Source organism: Homo sapiens, chromosome 17 (genome assembly GCF_000001405.40).
Source record: "Homo sapiens chromosome 17, GRCh38.p14 Primary Assembly".
In the NCBI taxonomy this organism is placed as follows: Eukaryota; Metazoa; Chordata; class Mammalia; order Primates; family Hominidae; genus Homo; species Homo sapiens.
The window spans coordinates 41,767,757-41,780,766 of NC_000017.11; the positions used below are offsets into that span (position 1 = coordinate 41,767,757).

General features: G+C 56.1%; 1 protein-coding gene across 19 annotated transcripts in view, besides 3 other annotated features; it reads right to left on the minus strand.

Annotated features, from left to right (window-relative positions):
- The window catches only part of JUP (junction plakoglobin), a 32,103-nt gene that overhangs the window by 13,148 nt on the left and 5,945 nt on the right, over positions 1 to 13,010 (minus strand). For 8 of the 19 annotated variants that reach the window (NM_021991.4, NM_002230.4, XM_006721874.4 and 5 more), the window contains exons 2-4: positions 3,891 to 4,106; positions 1,662 to 1,921; positions 1,213 to 1,451 (exon numbers count right to left, since the gene is read on the minus strand). In NM_021991.4, coding sequence (NP_068831.1) covers positions 1,213 to 1,451; positions 1,662 to 1,921; positions 3,891 to 4,098 — 707 coding nt within the window. In that variant the 5' untranslated portion in view covers positions 4,099 to 4,106. Of the gene's footprint in view, positions 1 to 1,212; positions 1,452 to 1,661; positions 1,922 to 3,890; positions 4,107 to 4,436; positions 4,501 to 4,790; positions 5,171 to 13,010 lie in introns of those variants that run through there. The other 11 variants (XM_047435934.1, XM_047435935.1, XM_047435937.1 and 8 more) reach the window with 7 other exon arrangements.
- Positions 3,451 to 3,955: an enhancer, noted in NCBI's record as "H3K27ac-H3K4me1 hESC enhancer chr17:39927459-39927963 (GRCh37/hg19 assembly coordinates)". NCBI's record gives its function as "activates a minimal SCP1, AML or CMV promoter by ChIP-STARR-seq in naive H9 embryonic stem cells {active_cell/tissue: H9 hESC(naive)}" and the evidence as "EXISTENCE:reporter gene assay evidence [ECO:0000049][PMID:30033119]".
- Positions 3,956 to 4,459: an enhancer, noted in NCBI's record as "H3K27ac-H3K4me1 hESC enhancer chr17:39927964-39928467 (GRCh37/hg19 assembly coordinates)". NCBI's record gives its function as "activates a minimal SCP1, AML or CMV promoter by ChIP-STARR-seq in naive and primed H9 embryonic stem cells {active_cell/tissue: H9 hESC(naive and primed)}" and the evidence as "EXISTENCE:reporter gene assay evidence [ECO:0000049][PMID:30033119]".
- Positions 7,995 to 8,498: an enhancer, noted in NCBI's record as "H3K27ac-H3K4me1 hESC enhancer chr17:39932003-39932506 (GRCh37/hg19 assembly coordinates)". NCBI's record gives its function as "activates a minimal SCP1, AML or CMV promoter by ChIP-STARR-seq in naive H9 embryonic stem cells {active_cell/tissue: H9 hESC(naive)}" and the evidence as "EXISTENCE:reporter gene assay evidence [ECO:0000049][PMID:30033119]".

Genomic DNA, 13,010 nt, shown 5'->3' on the forward strand with positions numbered 1-13,010 from the left:
CAAACAGCACCTCTCTTCTCCCAACTGGGACAATGACTCCTCCTGCTTCTGAGTCCCCAGCCCTGTGCTGAGCGCACAGTAGGTCCCCTAGACACTGATCCCTACTAAGTAACCACCATGTGGAAGGCCACATATTAGAGAGGCCTTGCAAGGCGTTCAGAGGGGAGTGAAATCAGTGTCTCCCCTTCAGGGAGCTTCCAGCCTGGTATGGGAATGAGAAATAAGGCCAGGAGCAGTGGCTCACGTCTGTAAACTCAGCGCTTGGGGAGGCTGAGGCAGGTGGATCACCCTGAGGTTAGGAGTTCGAAACCAGCCTGGCCAACGTGGTGAAACCCCGTCTCTACTAAAAATACAAAATTGAGCTGGGCATGGTGGCAGACGCCTATAATCCCAGCACTTTGGGAGGCCAAGGGGGGCAGATCACCTGAGGTCAGGAGTTCAAGACTAGCCTGGCCAACATGGTGAAACCCCATTTTTACTAAAAATACAAAAATTAGCCAGGCATGGTCGTGGGTGCCTGTAATCCCTGCTACTTGGGAGGCTGAGGCAGGAGAATCTCTTGAACCCGGGAGGCAGAGGTTGCAGTAAGCCGAGACTGTGCCATTGCACTCCAGCCTGGGCAACAGGAGGAAAACTCCATCTCAAAACAAAAAAAAATAGCTAGGTATGGTGGCAGATGCTTGTAATCCCAGCTACTCAGGAGACTGAGGCAGGAGAATCATTCGAACCCAGGAGGTGGAGGCTGCAGTGAGCTGAGATCACGCCACTGCACTCCAGCTTGGGTGACAGAGCAAGGCCTCATCTCAAAAAAAAAAAAAGAAATGAGGCCAATCCACATTTTGTAGGGGGCCAGGAAACAGAAAGTTTGCAAGGGACTTTGCATTTGCTGTTCCCTCTGCCTGGGACACTCTTCCCTTCCTCTGCACTAGCCAAACTCCACTCATCTGTCAATCCCCTGCCATTAAGCGATTCCACCTTTGAGCAATCTCAATGCTCTTCTGCCATAGCCTGTGTCGTATCCTGATCATTAACCTGCTGTTTACATGCCTGTGTTCCCTGCTGGGCTGTGAGCCACCGAGCACCCGGATGGGGTGTGCTTCTGCCTGGCACATAGTAGGTGCTCACTGGATATTTATGGAAGCTCAGGGAAGGGAGGGGAGAGGCCCAAGTGAGAGGGGGTCCTGGGCTCATGCAGTGAGCAGGGTTGGGTACCTGAGCATGCGGACCAGAGCAGGGATGCCACCCGACTTGAAGATGGCGAGCAGCCCCTCCCGGTGGTGGGAGAGGTTGTGCAGGATGCTGGTGGTGCAGCGGGCTGTGTCCAGGTCGCTGGTATTCTGCATGGTACGCACGACAGCGGCCACCAGCTGGGGCGAGCCCATCAGGGCCCGCCGCGACGCCTCCTTCTTCGACAGCTGGTTCACAATCATGGCCGCCTTGGTCACCACCACCTGGAGGGCAAAGGCAGGGGCGGGGACGTGAGCACTAAGGAGAGGCCGGGATACCCTTCCACAGAGCTGAGGAGGGCCCCAGTCAGACTCATCACACACGGGAGAGTCTGGGTCATAACCTCCCTCCACCCCTACAATGTCCCTCCCCTGAGGACATCTGCTCTCTCCCCTCCCTGCCCAGCCCCCACCCTAGCAGGGACCCTCACAGACCGGGTCCTCGTCGTTGAGCAGTTTGGTGAGCTCGGGCAGGGCGCGAGTGGCCAGCTCGGCATCGTCCTGGTAGTTGATGAGATGCACAATGGCCGACTTGAGCAGCTGGGACGGCTCGGCCAGTCGCTGCAGGTTGGTGGCCTGCCCCTCCACCTGGGTGGCCAGCAGAAGCGAGCTGTCCTCGCCTGACACACCAGGGCACATGGCCTCCCGCACCCGTTTGGCCCTGGCTGTTGTGGACATCTGGTACTCCAGATCACCTGGGGGCCATGGGGACAGGGACTGAGTGCAGGCAGTGGGCTGGGCAGACACTGGGGAGCAGGGCAGGCCACAGACAGCCCCACCTGGGTCCTCTGGGCTACCTCTTGCCCTGCCCAAACCCCCAGCACATGACTGGCCATTCTACCTCTCACCAGGAACCTTGGGGAAGTCACCATCACCTCAGTAATCTCTGTAAAATAGGCCCCACATGTTCTGTCCATCAAGGGAATTTTTTTTTTTTTTTGCACACTTATTATGTGCCTGGCAGTGAATTCAATGCCCTGCTTATATTTTCTCACATAACCTGACAACGACCCTGCAAGGTAAGTACTATCACTGGCTCCACTTTACAGATGGGAAAACTGGGCACAGAGGGGTTATAAGGCAGCCTGACTCAGGGGCCCAAACCCCTACTCTATTCTCCTCCCTTACCCATCAGGTCTGTTTTCAACCCTGAAATCTCAGGAGTCTAATTACACCCTCATCATCCCCAACGGTAGCAATCCTCCCACTATACAGGCAGGCAAACAGAGGCCCAGAGAACCACCAACATCACATCTCACAGCAGATCAGAGGGAAAGTCAGGGCTGTGGGTTCAGAGAGCAGGAGCTGGGTCCTCAGCTGAGACGTCAGGTTCCTCTCTAGCTTCCATCCCCTGGGTGGGTCTGGGAGTCCCACAGGTAGGTGCCCAAGCAGCCACACCCTGGCAACTGTCCTGATGCCCCCAGGGAGAGGGACGCAGAGGTTCCACCCTCTAATTAGTCGAGAAGGAGGAGACAGCTGCATGGCTTTCCCACCTGGATGCTGTACTTTTTGCTACCAACACAGTGCCTGGCCCTGCCAGCCAAAAGGCCCCCTGCTACCCCTACCAGCTGTCAGGGAGGAGACTGGCATGCGAGGGCTGAGCTCCATAGAGCCCCACCAGCCACAGTCTACTCACACTACTCCCAGCACCCACAGCCCACCCCCTGGCATGTTCAGGGCCCTGGAGGCACCTGTGGCCAACAGTTCTAGGGCCTGGCTATTCCTCTCTCCCAGAGGGGCAGGGGAGGCTTGGGCTGGCGGGGCATCCCCATCCCGGACTAAGCCCCAGAGCTGAGTCAGTCACTCATCCCACAGCCTTGGCCTATCTGCAGGTCAGCCGCAGAGGCCTGGTCTCCCTCCAACCCCAACGAGGGGCCCTCAGGCTTGACACCTACACCCCTCTACCCAAAGGGGAATCCCTGGGGGTTCCTGGGGGCTACGGCCCTGGCTCTCCCACAAACGTGAGGCTCCTGCAGCCAAAGGGCTGCGTCCTCCCTGCCATCCATGGGCTCCCTGAGAGCCATAGTGATACATCCTCATCAGACTCTTTTTTTTACTATTTTTTGAGACGGAGTCTCACTCTGTCGCCCAGGCTGGAGTGCAGTGGCGCAATCTCAGCTCACTCCAACCTCTGCCTCCTGGGTTCAAGCAATTCTCCTGCCTCAGCCTCCCAAGTAGCTGGGACTACAGGTGCATGCGCCACCACACCCGGCTAATTTTTGTATTTTTAGTAGAGACGGGGTTTCATCATGTTGGCCAGGCTGGTCTCAAACTCCTGACCTCAGGTGATCTGCCCACCTCAGCCTCCCAAAGTGCTGGGATTACAGGCATGAGCCACCGTACCCAATGTCTTCATCAGATTCTTATGTTCACAGAAGGCAAGGACTATGGCTTTTCCTTCAGACTGGAGGCACCCTAAGGGCAGGGACTATGCCTTCCCTCCCTACTGATGGTTCACAGAAGAGGATTCTGTGACCCTCCCAGATGCAGCACCCTGAAGTAGCTGCACCTCCTCCTTCAGACTGGGTGGGCCCCTAGTTAGCATGAGCTGTGCCTCCTCCCTCAGACCAGAGACCCCCTACAATCTGCCTCCTTTCACTCTGACCTCTCTCCAGGACCCAGGCAGGTTTTCTGCCCCATGCAATAGTCCCCAGGGGTCCTGACCTTGGCTGGGGGGCACCCCCTGGGTGTAAGTGGTGGTTTTCTTGAGCGTGTACTGGCGCCCGCAGGCCTCATCCTCCTCCATGATGCCCTTGCTGCTGACGGAGGGCACGCAGGTGTTGGCGCCCGAGTGGATACCCGAGTCGTAGGTGTATGTCTGCTGCCACTCAGTCACCTTGATAGGCTGCTCCATCAGGTTCATCACCTCCATCGTGGCTACTGGGGGCACAAAGGAGGAAGTCAGGAAGCAGGAAGTCACCTGGCCCAGCCCCCAGCTTCAGCCCGTCACCAAGCCCCGCCTGTCTTCCCACATCATCACCATGGCCCAGGGATTTCAATGAGGATGCAGGCTGGGGATGGGGGGACTGCCCAGAAGGGCACCAGGCCCAGGGAGGGGCTGCCCACGACGAGATACCCTGGGAGCAGTGAGCCCCAGGGGTGCGGCTGTGTGTATGTCCTGGGCTTGCATCTCTGACCTCCCAGGGGGATGAGCCCCAGGGGGCAGGACAGTCAAGGGCCAGCTGCCGCCAGAAGCCCCTGCTCACGCACCTTGCTGCCCTGACCCAACTCTCCCAGGGGCAAGAGAAGGCACTCAGGGCTTCTAGCAGCTTCTGAGGTCCCCTGGGCCCACCCTCAACTACTGGGGCTCCCTGGGAAAGGCTGCAGGGAGGAGGCACCCAAGCCATTGGGCAGGAAACTGGGCGGGGCAGGGAAGCGGTCTGACAGGTTTCTCTGGAGCGCCCCAGGCTCCCTCAGAGACTCCAGGATCTGGCTTTCCTACAGGTTGGGCAGGATCACACATGGCCCTGAGGTCCAGACCCTAAGGCCCCCTCTCTCCCAGCCCTCCCAGTCCCTAGACGCCTCTTTGAGTCCCACAGAGCAATTCAAATCTCAGCTACTCACTACTGGGGCAGTTCCTCTCCCCACAGAACCTCAGTGTCCTCATCTGTAAAGCGGGGTCACGCCACCTCCCTCAGAGGTGGTTGCGAGGACCTGGTGCATAGCAGGTGCTCAGAGGCCACGGCCATTATCATCAGCACTGCCTCTCCTCCAGAAGTGCTTCCTCACCTCCTGGTCTCCTCGAGCCCAGGCTAGGGATCTGGGGTGGGGCAGGCCTGTGGGTGGTCACTGCCGTCAGGAACCCCTCTCTCTCTCTGCAAAGGTTTAGGCGCACCTGAAGGTTAATGAGTAGCAGGGCCGAACTTTGTACCAGGGAGGTGAACTTCCCGCTTGGTCTGTGTTTGGCTCCACTGTCCTGGGAACTGACCTGCAGAGGTCAGAGGCTGCGGGGAGAATGGACGCCGTGATCCCATGAGGGCCTACTACGAGCCAGACCTTTCACAGACACCGTCATGCTCATGGGCGGGTTTCAAAGCCCATGCACTGGTCCCCCGCGTACAGATGCAGAAACTGAGGTTAGAAATGGCAGAGCTGGGACTGGGACCAGGTGTGAGGGCACCAAGGTCTGTAGTCTTTGCACATCCCGGCGCAGCCTCAGTGAGTAAGCAGAACTCAGGCTGGTCCACCCATGAAGCCAGGCAGCACCCGGGTTGTCTCACTGTGATGGGGACCAGGTGAGGGTGGGGTGGCTGGGGCAACCTGGCCCCACCCCAGGAACAAAGATCACCAAGGATAAGTCTTCCCTGTGACTGCCCCAGTGCCGCCCTGGCCCTCCAGGAGGATGACGAATGGTCCTGCAGGTCTCCCAGCCTTTTATGGCAGGCAGCCGTGAGCACACCCGGAACAGGCAGAGGCAGGGGCCAGGCCAGCTCCCAGCTGCCTCCTTCCTCTCCTCCCGCAATCCCTAGTGACTCAGAGTTTCAGGCTGATTAAACAGAAGCAGTCCCGCCACCTCAGACGGCAGACCCCAGACGACAGGCTCGGGCCGCCAGATGTGCACAGCTGCTTCCCAGGCATTCGAAAGTGTAGCTATTTCAGAAGGAGCCCCCCCAACCAGCCCCCTTTCCACACGCACCCCTTCCCCACACCCCTTCCCCAGCAACAGAGGGGAATGGCCACTGGCAGGAAACAGGGGCAATGGTGGGGGGCGGGGGGCGGGGTGCTCGGAGAAGGCAGACATGGGAAAACCCTACTAAAATCCTGAGCTCCTCGTGCTGTGCCGCCTTCCCCAACCATTTCCCTGCCCCAAGGGCAAGTCCCAAGAGAGAGCAGAGGAGAGTTTGGAAGAGAAGCTGCCCCCAGGAGAGAAGGAAGGTGCAAGTGTACAAGTAAACACGGTAGCAATAACCCACTGAATGCCGCTCTGCTGGGCTCAAGGCTGAACGACATCTGGACACTGCTGGACATCTGCAGCTCTGGTCAACAAACACACTGCATCCCAGCCAGAGGGCCCTCCTGCATAGACAGTGCCTAACCCTGGGGCTTCTCAGCTAAGGGAGAGGGAAGCGGGCCTCACTCCAAACAAGGGTCACCCCTTGCCGGCCTCACATCTAAAGGGACCACCACAGTCAAGCTGAGGAACTTCCTCAGCAGGCCCCTCACCACCCCCACCAGCCCAGGTCAACCGCCAGGAGACTGCTGAGGGCTAGACAGCTACCCAGGGAGAGACAGAAGCCACAGGATGCCATGGGGGGGTGGGGGGGTGGACGCCCAGTGGCCTTTATTATTATGTGAATCTCATTCTTCCCTCAAAGCAACCCTGGCAGATGTTTTATAATTTCCAATTTCTTTCTTTCTTTCTTTTTTTTGAGACAGAATCTCTCTCTGTCGCCCAAGTTGGAGTGCAGTGGCATGATCTTGGCTCACTGCAACCTCCACCTCCTGGGTTCCAGTGATTCTCCTGCCTCAACCTCTGAAGTAGCTGGGACTACAGGTGTGCACCACCACGCCTGGCTAATTTTTGTATTTTTAGTAAAGACCGGGTTTCCCCATGTTGGCCAGGCTGGTCTTGAACTCCTGACCTCAGGTGATCCGCCCACCTCAGCCTCCCAAAGTGCTGGGATTATAGGCTTGGGCCACTGTGCCTGGCTTTATTCCCAATTTCTAGGTGAAGAAGCTGTGCCTGCACACTGAGAAAATGGCAGCACTTGTGGTAGGAACAGCATCCAGTCCACTAGACAAGCCTGGGTGGAGCTGAGCCCTCTTGCCAAGGGGAGGAGGGGACCAAGGTGCTTGCAGATGGAAGCAGAGCACTCGGCTGCAAATCAAGTGTCCCAGGTTCGGGTGCGGTGGCTCACACCTGTAATCCCAGCACTTTGGGAGGCCAAGGCGGGCAGATCACGAGGTCAGGAGTTCAAGACCATCCTGGTCAACATGGTGAAATCCTGTCTCTACTAAAAAAGTACAAAAATTAGCCAGGCATGGTGGTGTGCACCTGTAATCCCAGCTACTCGGGAGGCTGGGGCGGGAGAATTGCTTAAACCAGGGAGGTGCATGTTGCAGTGAGCCGAGACTGCGCCACTGCACTTCAGCCTGGCTGACAACAGAGCAAGACCCTGTCTCAAAAAAAAAAAAAAAGAGTCCCAGGTTCTAGTCCCAGCTCTGCCACAAACTTGCTGGGTGTCCTTGTGTCCCTGGATCTCAAAGGAATGTTGATGTCTAAGATTCTAGAAATAAAAAAACAGGATTCCCACAACAGACAGAAGAAGGCTGGGGGTGGGCAACGTCAGAGTTGGGAACCAGTTCAGAGAGAGGACACACTCCAGAACTCCTCCTGAGGAAGGGGTCACGGGAGCTATTCCTGCAACAGGAAGGCTGGAAGTCAGACCTCAGGCAGGACTGTCAACCAGCCCCACCCTTCTCCTTACCTACTGCCCAGGAGAACAAAGGAACTTCTCTCACAAGAAACAAAAGTGCTGGTTTTACAGTTCCCAGGGTGGAGGGGGCCACACCCAGTTCAGTCTTGTCCCTCTCCACCCTGGACCTGGAGTCAGACCTCCTGCAATGCCCCTGGACAGAGCCAGGGTGGAAGCGAGAGAGACAGACGCAGGCCCTGCCCACTCATCCCAGCCAGAGACGGGCAGGGACAGAGACAGGGCGGGTTTCTGAGTTGAATGGGGGGCCTTTGTTTAGAGCGTGCTCTATTGTTAGCAGCACGGGAGGAAGAAGCCAGATCAGAGACTGTAGGGACAGCCCAAGGACAGGAAGAAGGAAGACGGGCCCTGGAGAGGGGGTGCAGAGGACCCTTCCCCATGGGACCCACACCAGGTAAGTGTGAGCAAGTAATAAGGCTAGACTGGGTGCACCCCTACCCTTCTTTCCTGCCTCCTCCTCTGCGCAGCCAACCCAGAGGGCTGGCACCGGGCACCCTAAATCCAAGACTGACCTGGCAGAGTGTGGCCCAGCCCTGACATTAAAAATAGCCCCACCAGAGCTACACCAGGCTCCTTCCCCAGCCGGCACCTGCCAAGGACAGTCAGCAATGGGCACATCTAGGCTGGGTTGCAGGGCACCAAGTGCCAAGACACCTGGAAATAAGGACAGGAGTGGGTTACCCCAGAGGCCGTGCTGGAAGCAGACTCAGAAGCATTGCATTTGGGAACAGAGGAGCAGGGCGGAGCAGGGCAGGGCTGGGTCCCCCAGAGGTTCCTTAGGCTAGAGGCCAGCACCCTGTGCAGACACAGGTCCCCAGGCTCAGACAGCGACAGGGTGAGCACAGGATTCTGAGTGAGGAGAGGGGCTCAATTTCCTTAAGCCTCATTTTCTCATCTGTAAAATGGAGATGATCAAGTGACTTCTTTTGTCACTGTGACTCTGGAAGCCCTCTGTCCACAGGAAAGGCATGCATTCTCATGCTAGAAGAACAAAGAGATGGCAGAGGAGGCGGAAGCCAGCTGGCGCAGTGGCTCGTGCCTATAATCCCAGCATTTTGGAAGGCGGAGGTGGGAGGGTCGTTTGAGCCCAGGAGTTCGAAACCAGCCTGGGCAACATAGTAAGACCCTGTCTCTACAAAAAATAAAAAGAAATTAGCCGGGCATGGTGGCATGCACCTGCAGTCCCAGCTACTCTGGAAGCTGAAGCATCACTTGAGCCCAGGTGATTGAGGCTGCAGTGAGCCAGGATCATGCCACTCCAGCCTAGGCAACAGAGCGAGACCGTGTCTCAAAACAAAAAGGTGAGGGGGCCAGGCGCGGTGGCTCACGCCTGTAATCCCAGCATATTGGGAGGCCAAGGTGGGTGGATCACAAGGTCAGGAGTTTGAGACCAGCCTGGCCAACATAGTGAAACCCCATCTCTACTAAAAATACAAAAAATTAGCCAGGCGTGGTGGTGGGCACCTGTAATCCCAGCTACTCGGGAGGCTGAGGCAGGCGAATCACTTGAACCTGGGAGGCGGAGGTTGCAGTGAGCCGAGATCGCACCAATTGCATTCCAGCCAGGGATACAGTGCGAGACTCTGTCTCAAAAAAAAAGAAAAATAATAAAAATTTAAAAAGGCGAGGGCTGGCACAGAGACCTGTCGGGCAAGGTGGATGGCAGTCTGTCTGGGGGAGCCCTGGCTGCTTTCTCTGACCCCTGAGATGGGGACTAGGTAGGGAGCTGCCTCCCAGGCCCTGGGGAGGTCAAGGGAACATGGCTGAGGAGAAGGGGAGTGGAACTTCGCTCACGCCAGGTGGAGACACTGGCTGCCCTATGCCCAGTCCATGCTGCTTCCTGCAGCCAGGGGCAGCTGCACAGCCAGGCGTGAACATTCCCCACATAGCAGTCCCAGGGGGAAGCTGGGCTCAGCAGGATCTCCAGCCCCCACCTTCCCCACTCTGTCCCTGGCTCCTGCTGAGGTCTGGCCAGCAGTTCCAAGCACAGACACAGACTCTAGAAAGTCCAGAGAGATGGACATGATGGCTTCCCTTGAGGGCCTGTTTCCCTCTCAGGCTGGGGCTGCCCAAGGAGGCCTCTCCCCTCTGGCTGGCAGCTCCAGGACGGAACCTCCTGCAGACTACAGGTTCTCTGGCAGACACTGTGGTCTCCATCAGCAAGCTGGTCCATTCCAAGAGGGCAGAACTGAAGCAGGAGCTGTCAGACAAGCTGGTCTTAGGCTTCCGGAGGAAAACCCTCACTTCCAGTCTGGAGAGCAGCCCAGGCTGTGGCCTGAGGATGAGCTGGGGCCTGGGGGAGGCTCAGGCCTGCCGACCCAGCTGCTGTTTATTTTCCTCCTTCTGGGCTCCTTCCCAAAGCAAACAAACCCGGGTAGGAAAATGAAGGGGATTTGTAGGAGAGGGAATTTGCCACGGCCAAGTGGCTCGACCCAGGGACCTCTATGCTCCCCTGGAGAGGGCTCCAGCTGGAGCTCCGTTCCCTGCTGGTGACCCCCGTGGGCAGATTCCCAAACTGGCAGATGACCCCAAACCGGGACTCCTGGGAATGGAAAAACACTTCACCCCACACCAGGAAACAACAACAAAAGGTTGACGTGTGTTGGTGACGCAAAATACACAAGTACTCTCATTCCACTGCCTCCAACCACCACCAGTGGGGCTTGGGCAGCCTGGGGTCCAGGGGCGGCCCACTTCTCAATAACAGCAGCTCCGATCCCAGCTGACTGAGGCCCACTCCCTGGGGTGTGATTCTGCAAGGATCCCTACATATAACCCTCTCCTGGGAAGATCCATCTGTTTATTGTACAACACATGCTGGAAAACCAGGATTGGAATAAAGTTTTGGCTAAAATCTGTTACTGTAGGCAGGGTGCAGTGGCTCACCCCTGTAATCCCAGCACTTTAGGAGGCCAAGGCAGGTGAATCCCCTTGAGCTCAGGAGCTCCAGACCAGTCTGGGCAACATGGCGAAACCCTGTCTCTACAAAAAAATGCAAAAATTAGCCGGGCGTGGTGGCATGTGCCTGTAGTCCCAGCTACTTGGGAGGCTGAGGTAGGAGGATCGCTTGAGCCCAGGAAGAGGAGGTTGCAGTGAGCTGAGATCTGCACTCCAGCCTGGGCAACACAGTGAGACCCCATCTCAAAAAAAAAAAATGTTACTATATACAGGGGATGAGCTCATCAAGATCAAGGCTAAAGAACAAAAGGATGTTGCCGAGCACGGTGGCTCATGCCTGTAATCCCAGCACTTTGGGAGGCCGAGGCGGGCGGATCACGAGGTCAGGAGATCGAGACCATACTGGCTAATACGGTGAAACCTCATCTCTACTAAAAATATAAAAAATTAGCCGGGCGTGTTAGCGGGTGCCTGTAGTCCCAGCTACTCGGGAGGCTGAGGCAGGAGAATGGCATGAACCCAGGAGGCGGAGCTTGCAGTGAGCCGAGATCCTGCCACTGCACTCCAGCCTGGGTGACAGAGCGAGACTCCGTCTCAAAAAAAAAGAAAAAAAGGATGCTAAGAAAAGAGGAAGAGACTTGGCTGGGCGTGGTGGCTCATGCCTGTAATCCCAGGACTTTGGGAGGCCAAGGCGGGTGGATCACAAGGTCTGGAGTTTGAAACCAGCCTGGCCAACATGGTGAAACCCCGTCTCTACTAAAAATACAAAAAACTAGCCAGGCATGGTGGCAGGTGCCTGTAATCCCAGCTACTCAGGAGGCTGAGGCAGGAGAATCGCTTGAAACCAGAAGGCAGAGGTTGCAGTGAGCTGAGATTGTGCCACTGTACTCCAGCCTGGGCAACAAGAGCAAAACTCCGTCTCAAAAAAAAAAAAAGAGGAAGAGACCTTAATGAAAGTTGCTTTTTAGGATTATGGGCGATTTTTTTTCTTTTCTCTTAAACTTTTCTAAACTTCCCAATTTTTTTTTTTTTTTTTTTTTGAGACAGATGTCACCCAGGCTGGAGTGCAGTGGCACAATCTTGGCTCACTGCAAGCTCCGCCTCCCGGGTTCACGCCATTCTCCTGCCTCAGCCTCCACAGTAGCTGGAACTACAGGTGCCTGCCACAACGCCCAGCTAATTCTTTGTATTTTTTAGTAGAGACGGGGTTTCACCATGTTAGCCAGGATGGTCTCGATCTCCTGACCTCGTGATGCGCCCGCCTCGGCCTCCCAAAGTGCTGGGATTACAGGCGTGAGCCACCGCGGCTGGCCCCCAGTTTTTTTTACAATGATCAGATATTACTTTTTTTATTTTCTTTCTCTTTTTTGAGACAAGGTCTCGCTCTGTTGCCCAAGCTGGAGTATAGTGGCACAATCATGGCTCACTGCAGCCTTGAACTCCTGGGCTCAAGCAATCCTTCCGCCTCAGCCTCCCGAGTAGCTAGGACCACGTGCACATGCCACCATGCTTGGCTAATTTTTTTTTTTTTTTTTAAGAGATGGGGTCTTGCTATGTTGCACAGGCTGGCAGGCTGGTCTCAAAGTCCCGGCCTCAAGCAATCCTCCTGCCTCAACCTTCAGAGCGGTTGGGATTACAGGTGTAAGCCACTGCCCCAGCCAGATATTACCTTCTCAATCAAGGAAGAGGAGGAGTCTCCCCTAAATAAGCAGCTTATTGATTGCCAAGCCCCTGTCCCAACTCTGCTCTGGTCCCTGCTACTGTCTCCATGGTAGGGAAAGACACAGAAAGCTGAGCTTCAGCTGGGCATGGTGGCTCATGCCCATAATCCCAGCACTTTGGGAGGCTGAGATGGGACAAATGCTTGAGCTCAGGAGTCCAAGACCAGCCTGGGCAACATAGCAAGACCCTGTCTCTACACAAAACTTTAAAAATTAGCTGGGCATGGTGGTGCACACCTGTGGACCCAGCTACTTGGGAGGCTGGGCGGGAGGATTGCTTGAACCCAGGAATTCAAGGATGCAGTGAGCTGTGATCACGCCACTGCACTCTAGCCTAAGGGACAGAGCGAGTCCCTACCTCAAAAAAAGGAAAGAAGGCCGGGCGCAGTGGCTCACGCCTGTAATCCCAGCACTTTGGGAGGCTGAGGTGGGTGGATCACTTGAGGTCAGGAATTCAAGACCAGCCTGGCCAACATAGTGACACCCCCATCTCTACTAAAAATACAAAAATTAGCTGGGCATGGTGGCGCATGCCTGTAGTCCCAGCTACTTAGGAGGATGAGGCAGGAGAATTGCTTGAACCTAGGAGGCAGAGGTTGCAGTGAGCCAAGACTGCACTACTGCACTCCAGCCTGGGCGACAGAGCAGGACTCCATCTCAAAAAACAAACCAAAAAAAAAAAAGAAAGAAAAGAGAAGAGGAGAAGGGAGGAGGAAAGAAAGCTGAGTGCC